We start from the raw sequence: 11,995 nt of genomic DNA on the forward strand, positions 1-11,995 counted from the left end.
ATCTCTAACCTATCACATTTAAGTCTTTGTGCCCTGCTCCTTTTAATTTGCTTTTTTTTCTATATCTTACTTATCTTTGCTGCATTGACCTACACTCAGAGAGGCTCAACCTCAACCCAAAGGTTTTAACTTCTAATTTTATAAAAGTTAAATCCTTTTTAAATTTATAAAATTTCAAGGGATAGCACATTATATTTGTAATCTCTCAATCTGTTGGTTGAGAATACATACTTAATCAGCATTTAACAAACCTTCTTCTAGTACCCAGGGGCTTAATGGAATAAAAACAGATTCATAGAACCTATACTCTAGTGTGGAAAAATATGTAATAAAATAATTACACAGTCAAAGTAAAATGTGAAATGGTAAAGAGACACAATGAATTTAGTAACTTTAATTAGATTTGTATTTTAGTAATCACAGCAGATCCTATATGCATTAAAACTAATAGCATATCCTTTGTTTGGATTAGGCTTGATGTATTATTGTAGGCCCTTTACAATAAAACTCCCATACCATAAATCCACACCCAACATGTTAGGAATTTCTACATTGTGTGACCATTATGCCCTTAGCTAGAATTTATGTTAATTGAAGGCAAAGATCTTGCTTATTAATTAAACAGTCATTAAATAAATATATTAACATAAATAACTGCTAGCTTCTGCCTCAGACAAACCCAAATTTGTTTCTCACTTCTGTTACTTTCACAATGCTGAATGCTGATGAAAGGCAGGGTAAAGAAGGAATGAAAATGTGTTCCACAGAAGTCAAACTAACATAATCTCTGCCATCTTACTGTTGCACTTTCTAGAACACATACCTTCTGAGGCTGCCAGATAAGTAGAGCACAGATATGAAGGAAGTATTCCAGCTTTAACTGCTTCAACCCAGAGCTTTACCACCACAATGTGATGTAATTACTCCATGGCACAGTCTTCCCAAACACTTAGGCCTGTATCACTAATGCCTTTGATGGTGCCCACTCAATGAGAGCTTATTGCACGAAATAATGGAATGTAAAATAAAATCTTCTCTACAATCAAGCATTGCAAAAGGATTTTTTCTTTTACTCCTTTCTATCATGACACAACAGAACCTACAGCCCTGGCACAAAAGAAAAAGAAACATTTGGTATCAGCCATCACCTGGAAACATTGCAAACATGACTCAGAACCTCACATCGGTTGTCTGTGAAGTGTTCCCATGACTCTGCGGGAATGAGAGATCACTGGGAGTGATCCAGTGGCTGCTGCCTCATCATGTCCATCACAGTGAGCCTCTCTAATAAAATTCAGTCCTGTTCTTGCTTCTTTGAAGGGATAAGAGAGGCTAGCTACTTCCCACCAGCACTGAGCCTATCTCCTGCCAGTTTCAAAGCAAGGGGAACAGAAGTGCTTTCCACAGAGTAAAATATGCACACAGACTCCCAACACCCACCAAAGAAGGAAACACTAATTTCTGCAAGGTAAATACTTCTGTTACTGGTCAATTTTCTAGGTTTTTTTAAAAACAAAAACTGCCTTATATTCCCAGAGGTCTTTGAGTTCTGAAAGCAGCTTTGCATTAGCAATCCCATTTGATCCTCAAAATAATGTCATGCCATAGGTAAGGCAGGAGCTTTTATCACTATTTTAAAGGTGAGGAAAAATTATCCATAGGATTAGGTGGCCTGCCAGGAGGTCATACGAGGGAAGAAAAGCTGGCACTAGGCACAGAACCAGGCCCTCTGACTCCTGACATGGCACTCTTTGAACGTCATATCATGCCTCTTACCCCCAAATGGATGACGATCCTTTTGACCGTGGGTTGTGGTTTTGGCAGTTGCGCCCACCTTTGCTGTCTCAGATGCTTGCTATTCAAAATGACCACAGAAGGCTAAATCCAAAGGTGGCGATTGATAAAGAAACTGCTGAGACATCTCTCTCCTTCTAGGTTACCTCCAGTGAAGTCAAAAGTAATGTCAGACAGTGCTCAGATATCCAGTCCTTTCAAGATGTAATAATAAGCCACCTGTAAAACAAACAACTTGATGACAGTTTTCAGAGACAACAATTTCATTCTACATTACATCCTTTTTTTTTTTTTTTTTTGAGACAGAGTCTCACTCTGTTGCCCAGGCTGGAGTGCAGTGGTGCCTTCTAGGCTCACTGCAACCTCTGCCTGCTGGGTTCAAGGGATTCTCCTGCCTCAGCCTCCCCAGTAGCTGAGATTACAGGCACCTGCCACCATGCCTGGCTAATTTTTGTATTTTTAGTAAAGACAGGGTTTCACCATGTTGGCCAGGGTGGTCTCAAACTCCTGATCTCAAGAGATCTGCCCTCCTCAGGCTCCCACAGTACTGGGATTACAGGCGTGAGCCACCACTCCCGGCCTCTACATTACATTTTCTAAACTTTTTATCCACCACGTAGCTATTCTGAAGATGGTCTTAATTTCCAATGTTTATTTTACGAAAACTTAAGCTTGCTTACCCCATCTCTTTTCATACCAAAACATTTCTATAAAACTCAAGAAATCCATAACTCAGCATAATTAGTACATGGCATTCTCCCTGTTCTTTCTAAAATAACTGTCTGTACATGATAGAAGCATAAAATATTTTGGTTGTATTTTTTCAGTTCCTAGGAAAAGAATTTACAATTATAAATGGTTAACAGAAATTAATTGTATTTGGCTTGTATTTAAATCAAGCTGTTTATGCATACTCGTTATGCACCAGCACAGCTCCTTGCTTATATAGGCGTTCAATAAATATTTGTTAAATGATTGATGGAATGAATGATGCAATGCCCTGTGAGAACACAATGTCTTTGTCCTGCTGTATGAGTTTCGGTAGAAAATTAAAGTAGAGAATTACAAAGAATGGAAAGCTAGGCCTTTGAAGACAAAGATTCTAGTCATTAATACTAAATAACTAAATGACTTAGGACAAACTACTTGATTCACCAGGCCTTTAGGTTTCTTAACAACAGAATAAGAATATGGATAAGAATTGAGATGGTCTCTAAAGTGACCTTCAGCCACAAGTATTTTGTAATTCTAGATTGAAAAATATCAGCCAGAGAAAAATACCACTCTCACCAGAAAATAAGTATGAATGAAGGGTGATCCCAGACCAAGGTCTAGCTTTTTAAGTTTAAATGTGCCTGGGGGGTTTTAAGAATCTTAAAGAGTCTAACTGAAGACAATGAGACTTCCCAGAGTCTAACAGAGATTGCTTTTAGCACATTATCGTCTATTACAAGCCCTATAAAGGGACTGTAGTAGAAGGAGTTCAAAGTAGGCTCTGAGGAAAAAGGAACGGCACTGAGGAAAGCTAAAGTTTCTTCTCCTATTATTTTTTCTTTAACAAAGCAGATGAGGGAAAGAAAATACCTGTCATGAACTGTTCCGAAGTCCCCAAATTTGAAGAATGACTATTAAAAGTCTCTTGGAGCACAAAAGGAAAGAAACCTAGAGGAAATAGAATTTATGGAAAGAGAACCCGGAACAAAACTCCTAATTTCTGAAGAAATTGGCAGCTCAGACAAGAGTTTCAACCAGACACCAAAAAGGGGTCGATCTGGGATCCAAACAGGAAAGGACCGTGCTCTGCCAATGGCTACAAAGTAGCTGAAGAAAGTACCTCAGCCTCTGAGGAGAGAATAGGAACCACGTGAACAGATTGCTGAAAGGTTAGGAAGGGCTCAGAAGAGTAAGCAGTGACCACCTCAGAGCAACGAAACCTACAGTCAGCACCAGGTGAGGCTTCATCTGCCTCAGTCGATGATCCTGACACTCCAGAAGTTTCTCCTACTATCACACTTGAAATAACTAGGCAACTGTGTGTGTGTGAGAATTCTGTCGGCAGTGCTGCAGCAGGAGAATACGAAGCAGGGAAGACTGTGACTCCGAACTAAGACCTTCAAAGGAGAAATTATCTTTCTTCCCCTTCCTCCCACCACAACCCTTCTCCTTCCTTTGTTTCCTCGGGGATAGCAGAGCAAATTCCACCTAATATAACCTAACGTTTAGGCTAAAGACCTCTCAGGCCTGCCAGCAAATCCCTCAGCTCTGCCTCTGGATGGGGGTATCACATCGACCAATAAAGTTGCCCATAAAGAAAAGCATAGACCCAACCAGAACACTGACTATGCACCCATTATATGTAAAGCCAGGTTTTTTAGAAAATAAAAAGGTAGGCAAGGCATTGTAGCTGCTATAAGAGGTTTCAAATCCAGTGGAGGAGATAAAATATTGAATAAGCAAGACGAAGTAAACAATGTGCCAAATGTGAAGCTGAAACAAAAACCTAGTGCAGGAAGAGTCAAGATCCCTTCCTGTGTGGCTGATAGGGTTGGTTCACAAGAAAAAGCATCAGAGACAAACATGGAAGGACCATCTGTTTCTCTCCATCCTCTTCTACCACCCTCTTCTATGCTATACTCTTCTCTTCTCTTCTCTTCTCTTTTTCTCTTCTCTTGCCTAGAATACTAAAAATGCCCCACATTTATTTCTACCTCCTCTTACCAATTCTCTAATCAGAGGCAGAGTGACTTTTAAAAAGCAAACCTCATGCCACTCCACTGTTTTCAAATCCTTTCATTGTACTTAGAATACAATTTAAGGTTAAAGGTTTCACCTAATTTGGCCTCTCTCTACATCTGTAGCCTCATCTTAAGCCTCCCTTTCCCACTGTAGTCTCTCTCAACCTTGGTGGTCTTCATTCATTTCTTTCCATATACTTGTTTGAGGCATTTACATTGGCTATTTCCTCTGCCCTGAATGCTTCTCTCTCCCCTCCCCTTTGCTTAATTAATTCTTGCACTATCCCTCATCCAAACCCATATCCCTGTCCCGACATGCTGACATATCCCTCTCCCCTGTTCCCACTAGGTTAGTATATCTGTTGTCTGTTCCTGTGGCCCCCTGTGCTTCTCTTTCATAGCACTTATAATGGTTGATAAGTGTGTTACTTGTGGAATTCTTCAATGACAGTTGACACTCCCATATATAAGCTCCAGGCAGAGACCGTGTCTATATTCTCACCTTTGCACAACATCTAGCTCAGAGCCACAAAAAGTAGGCACTCATTAGCTACTTCTTCAATGAATAATGAATATTACAGATCAATCATCAGCTCTGTTTCAAAAGAGGGAACTGAGGCTCAGAAAGGCAAACAGACTTACTCAAAACCCCAGGTTGCTGAACCAGAAAAAATAGTCTTGTCTCCAGACTTTTAATCCCATAGTTCTCATCCAGTTCTACCACATGGCCCGAAAGCTTGTTCATGGGCCAAGTCACAGGTTCTAACTCTATTGCTGGGACAAAAGATAATTGAGAGGAGAGACAAAAGGAATTATTCATTGGGTCATATGAGCAGTTGAACATAAGTGAGAAATTGAGAAATGAAAGACTGAAACTCAAACGAAAAGTTGATGAGTGGGTGGTGTGGTTAAGGTATTGACACACAGTTGAGAGATTGATCTGGTTGACTGATCTGAGATGTACACACATACAGCACAGGAGATGAGACTCCACAAAGACAGCACATATACCTCGCCAGAACCTAATTAAGAGAAAAGAATTCAGTGGAACAAGTGAGTGTTCTGGAAAGTACAACAGGATCAAGTTTTGTTCAACTGATTTTGGATTATAAATTCCTCCTGGGGGTTGGAGGGTTGGGGGTGGGGGTAAAGGCAGAAAATAGGCAATCTATTGATGTTTTAATATTTGAGGAATTGTACTTATTAAGCAATATGTATACTATTGAGTCTAAAAATGCCAAGTTCAAAAAAAATAATAATGGAAGTATTGGAAGCCAAAGAAATGGTCTGATGAAGTGATGGGGGTTAGACATGAGAGTGGGGCTCCATGCTGGAACCACACCCTTCTGTTCAGCCAGATCACATCTTGGCCATGATCCTCCCTTTCAACCAGTGCCAGTCACAAGGAGGAGGTGTGAATCCAGGCCCAAGGCTGAAGCACAAGGTTGATGAGCCGCAAAGGGGAGGGCCGCCTCAGCCTAAGCAGGGAAGGCAAGGGCTCTTTTATATTTCCTCTGAAAGCAGCATAATGTTTTAACTCAAATGTGGAGGGCTATTAGTTTCCCAATCACCCCCCCGCAAAAAAAGGTCTCAAGTGTGGGATTCCACAAAACAGAGCTGCTTTTGAACTCCCCCGCCCTCAACATCTGCAGCCATTTTCGTCCTCCGAGCATTGCCAATTTCTGCTTTCAGGACTGATATCTCCACACACACACATGGGTTCTGGCAGCCTCTGTTCAATAGGCTGCAGGAAGCCGAGTCAGCAAGGAAAAGGGCAAGGGATTCTCTGCACATGGCTCTAACTTTAGTTTGTCACTAAATCTCTGCCTATAGAAAAACTTTAGAATATACAAAGTGCATTGAGGCGGTTGTGTGAAAATGCCTCCAGGCTTATATAAGGGTAATTAAATATATATACATACACTCTCAGAGTAGTCCGGGTAATATTACTTTCAGATTTTAGAAGAGTGATAACACATTTTTAAATTAATTTTTACACAGAGAAGACTCCTCAGTGTGGCACAGTGGAAAGAGTGCAGGCTTTGGGCTCACACCAGGCTTTGAATCCTGACTGGGTAAGCATGAAAAAGTTGCTAACCCACTCTGTGGCTCAGTTTTCCTGCTTTTCCTACTATAAAAGAATTGTAGCAACCACTTTGGAGATGTGGAGAATTGGAGATAATATCTGAAAGCACATATGCAAAGCTTAGAATGTAACAGGCACTCATTAAATGGCAGCTACATTCACACATAATGATGAAAGAAAACAAGGCAGTATTTTTCTTTGTCTGTGTTATTAACAATCATTAATGAGATTGTAAAACTTGAGTTGGTAAAAGTCAACTCAGCCCCAGTATACTGAGTGAGTCACTGACAAGCCATTCTTCATCAGGTTCCTGATTCTAATTATTAAGTATTTCCTCAATATGCTTTCATTCACACGGGGGGGCGGGGGGCAGTGAGGAGGGGCTTCCTATCCTTAAAAAAAAAATTGTAGGAGGTTGTCTATGGTATGATCTCAGTCACAGCACAGGTAAGCACTCCTTAAAGTTCTTGCATCATCACCTGACTTCCTCAGCCTACCTGCTTGCATTTACAGTTGCTTAAAAATCTAGTTCAGAAGAGGAAAGTATTAATAGTTTAAGCCTTCCGATCCAGTTTAGTTACCGACAGTTGCATAACATTAGCTATCGCTTCTCTGAAAAGGAGTCCCCAAATTGCGTCTCCCTTCAAAGTGGTGCCACATAGCTTCAGCTTCCCAAGAGACAACCCTTTCAGCCCACCTTGTAGGCTTTTAGCCTTACGCAACTAATGGAAACTTACAAAGTACTTAGAAACTATACAATTCCATGAACAGTCTACAGTACCTGGGGTATCCAATCTTTTGGCTTCCCTGAGCCACATTGCAAGAGGAAGAATTGTCTTGGGCCACACATAAAATACACTAATACTAACGATAGCTGATGAGCTAAAAAGATAAAAATAAATTGCAAAAAACAACTCATAATGTATTTAGACAGTTTACAAATAGAAAATCTCAGAATGTTTTAAGAAAGTTTACAAATTTGTGTTGGGCTGCATTCAAAGCCATCCTGGGCCGCATGCAGCCCATGGGCTGCAGGTTGGACAAGCTTGAGCTATACATTGCAGTGATTTTATTAAAGAGTTGCCAGTCCCCCACTTCAGTCACAGATTTACTCATTTTTTGTGAACACACGGTGATCATCCCTCCTCGCAACTCTCCCCATGGTCTTCCAATTTGAATGCCTTTTCTTATCCTTTCTCCACATCAATCCCTAAACCCGAACTGACTCCCAAGAGTCCACTCCATTAACAACGGCCTCCAAGACTTTGCTGCCACTCCAAGCCTCCTGTGAACTCATTCAAAAGTATTTCTTGAATACCTCCAACATGCCAGGCCAGGCCCACAGCATTCACTGGCTGCCACTCTTGTTTGACATTTAATTATCTACCGCTTTGGAACACTTCTTCTGTCATTATTTAACTCCAGTTATCTAAAGGGTCACTGTGTCTCTTGTCAATTTGTTAAATTTTAAATATACTTCCATTTCCCATAATCCCAGAATAGTTCAATATCAAAAAGAAGATCCTTATTAAGATTTTGAATTAAAAAAATGAACTTACCAGCAGATACTACTGCAGTAAGCCATTATTTATTCTTTTGCACAAATAAATTTTGCATGCTTTATTCATTATGGTTTTCACCAAGCAGGGTAAAAGATTCAGAACTAGCATGGTTGTGATGGATTGGATAATAAAAATGTGGTACATACACACCATAGAATACTACTCAGCCATGAAAAAGAACAAGATCGTATCTTTTGCAGCAACATGGACGCAACTGGAGGCTATAATCCTAAGCAAATTAATGCAAAAACAGAAAACCAAGTACCACATGTTCTCACTTATAAGTGGGAGCTAAACATTGGGTACTTATAGACATAAAGATGAGAACAATAGACCCTGTGGACTACTAGACAGGTCAGTGAGGGCAGGGTGTGGGTTTAAAAACCACCAAAATTACCTGTTGGGTACTATGCTCACTATCTAGGTGGTGGGATCCATACCCCAAACCTCAGCATCACACAATATAGCCATGTAACAAACCTGCACATGTGCCCTCTGTATCTAAAAGTTGAAATTGTCCTAAAAAGTGAAAAATTTAAATTGTGTGTTTTTTTGAGACGGAGTCTCGCTCTGTCGCCCAGGCTAGAGTGCAGTGGTGCAATCTCGGCTCACTGCAACCTACGCCTCCCTGGTTCAAGCGATTCTCCTGCCTCAGCCTCCCGAGTAGCTGGGACTACAGGCGCCAGCCACCACACCTGGCTAATATTTTGTATTTTTAGTAGAGATGGGGTGTCACCGTGTTAGCCAGGATGGTCTCAATCTCCTGACCTTGCGATCCACCCGCCTCGGCCTCCCAAAGTGCTGGGATTACAGGCGAGAGCCACCGCGCCAGGCCTTAAAAAATTTTTAAAAGAAAAAAGAACAAGAGTGGTTTGAAGCTGAATACTTTTTTTGCCTAGCCTCACTCTGACTCCTGCCGATGCTGGCTCCACATCTTCTCATCCCCTCAGCCAGGTGAGCCTCACATTTGTCATGTATGTCAAGTTCCTTTCACTTGAGAAATTTCTACAATCTGTTCTCCACTCTTGCAAATGTTTAAAGTAAAGCATTTTAAAGTATTTATGCTTTCCGTTTATTCTGGCTTAACAGAGGTTTTGTATTAAAATTAGAGATATGATTTGAGACTCTATATAAATAAAATTGGAATCTTTCCACGTAGACAAAGGGGAAACTAAGAATGTCTATGGAGTGAACAACATAAATCCATGAGCAAGGAGGTTGGGGTCTCACAAACAGGAACAGAACTGTGAAGGAGCTTCATATAAACATCTTCACATACTTACGAAGGTGAACCAAGAGGCAACTTGGCTTCTCTTCTTTTCAAAAAAAAAAAAAAAGTTTCTAAAAAATGGAGTTGTTTATAGTCATTCAAAACTCCATATCCATAAAACAGGATAAGGAATGTCTCAACACTGTAGATAAAAGTCATTTGGAGAGAGAACACTCCCTTTAATCCAAGGAATGCGTGCTGATTAGATGACGAGGGTGAACGAAGGCAGTACAACACCTATTATTAATAATAATAAAATGACTTTGAACTTCTCCAGTCCCTTTCATCTAGGAATTTCAATTTGTTATTAAACCTCACTTTTACTTTATCACCCCTTGTAAGGCAATAAAACTGTAATACTTAGAATTTCTACATTCTCTTGTAGTTTTAAATACTTTATCATCATTCATTTGTTGTTCAAGGCTATAACTTACTGAGTAAGCTAGGGTAATTACCCCATTTTATACAGATAGGGAAACTGAGATATAACAACTTCTTGCCGAGACCACACAGTGAGGCTGCTGCAGAGCCAGAATCAAGGCTAATACTTGAATTCGTGCAGGGCTTCTCGGTGGGAAAACTAAATCAGTTCCCACGCTTCCTCCTGAACAGCTATCTTAAGACACAGGTAGCCTTAAAATAAGGAACTTCAGAATTTTAAAAATTAACTTAGAAGAAGTAGAATAATGTTAAATATTCTGCACACTTCAAACTTAGAAGGACTAAAGAAAGGCTAACTGACAACTCATAATAGAACAGGAAGAGAAAAAGAGGAAGTGGGTGATAAACATTCACTGCTTTTCCAAAGATTCACCCCTAACTTTCACAATGGGTAATTGAAGATGCTAAATAACAACATATAACTTGTACTTTATGTATACATTGATATTATCTGATTGCAGCTCAAATTGCCTTTTAAACCCATTCTTCTCTCCCCACCCACCAGGCACTGGGAAGAGGCTGGCAATATCTTGAACATACTACCTTTCAAATCCTTCCTTAAGTGACAATGACAGCAACATTAGTGACAACTCTTGGATGGTACGGAGCATTTTTAGCCCTTAGAACCTACTCATTTGAAGTTAGTGAACTTCTGAAGAATAATTGCCTTAAATATCATATTTTAAAATTCAAATGTTATACTGAAAAAAAGCAAATACTTTATCAGGCATTTGTGGTCACTTGACCTTTTCCAAACCTAGAATGTTAGCCTTATTAAAATCCACAGCTTTTCTGCCTCTTTCCATTGCGAAAGGGAGGAGGGAAAGACCTAACCCTTAGACAAGTATTTTATTTAACTTCAGAGGCCACTGAAGTATTTTATTTCCTTTGTGAACTTTCCAAGTGCCTTCTGCCCTAGGCAACAAGCAAAGGGTGAATGTAAGGAGTGGTGAAACCAAAAGTGGCTTGGCTGCTCCAGTCAAAAAATAAAAATCAACAACATGTCCAACAGTTGAGATAAATACCCTCCAAACTTGCATCTTGTACATGAAACTGGGTCAGATCAGGCCAGGCCAGGTCATTGTCCCCAGCGGTAGTTATCGATGGAAAACAATGCCACAGGCAAAGAACCCTGGACCAGGGAGATCCCCCTACCTCCCATATCCCCATACCCTAAAGACAGATCATGCATGTACTTTGGCCATGTATAGAAAAACAAAAATAAATAAACCACCCCTTGATTACTAATCTCAAACTTCAGGCAATGTGTGAATGAGATGACTGAGAATACGTGCCGAACTCTGCATTCCTCAACAGAAACCTAGCACCATGTGTATTTCTATCAATTTAATACATTAGATTACACTTAATACAGAAGGCAGACTCTGTTTTTCTGTAAAGTAGAATTGCTACATTTCTACTCTTCCGTTAGCCCACCCTGCAAAACAGCAACAACAATTTAAAAAAAAAAATGCTCCTCTAGACCTTTCATTTTGTTTTCCAGAAATATTGCCAATTTTGCCAAGTTAAAGCCAAGATTCACCACTGCCGATTCCACCCCCAACCCTGCCAAAATCTGAGAAAAACAATAGTTTCAGACATGACAAACACATTGCAAAAAGAGTCAGAACAACAAGTTATGGAAACAGGAAATTATTTAAAACCTTGAATAAAATATCCTTGAAGCACTTAAAACACACACACACACACATTTCCAAGTCAAAGGATACATTGGAAGTCCTCTTAAGGAAATGTAATTTGGCAAGTGACTGCCTAGTAGAAATTTATACCATTGGTAAAAGTTGTTCACTAGATGCAGAAGAGCTAAACTGCAAGTTCATGGAAGAAACCACCTCTTCAAATCTCAATAAAAGATTAGCAGGCAGTTGCTTGTAGGCTTGGCTTTAAATCTGCCAAGCTGGCTTGGAGGCAGCTCATTTTTTTTTTTATACAAGTCTTCATTCAAAATCAAAATTAGACCCAACTGTCCCTTGCAATTACATTTTAGTGGCTTGAGCTGGGTGTTTGTGTTTTTTCTAGGTGATTAATAGCGCTCACATTTAAATGGTCTCAGTCAGCCTCTGCAGTCATTAACACCCTATTAAGA

At 40.0% G+C, this 11,995-nt stretch overlaps 1 annotated feature.

Moving 5' to 3' along the window:
* Positions 1,081-2,280: an enhancer, noted in NCBI's record as "CDK7 strongly-dependent group 2 enhancer chr5:106620899-106622098 (GRCh37/hg19 assembly coordinates)". NCBI's record gives its function as "activates an origin of replication core promoter dependent on BRD2, BRD4, P300/CBP, MED14 and CDK7 cofactors, with strong dependence on CDK7, by STARR-seq in HCT116 cells {active_cell/tissue: HCT116}" and the evidence as "EXISTENCE:reporter gene assay evidence [ECO:0000049][PMID:35650434]".

This window comes from Homo sapiens, chromosome 5 (assembly GCF_000001405.40).
Source record: "Homo sapiens chromosome 5, GRCh38.p14 Primary Assembly".
NCBI lineage: Eukaryota > Metazoa > Chordata > Mammalia > Primates > Hominidae > Homo > Homo sapiens.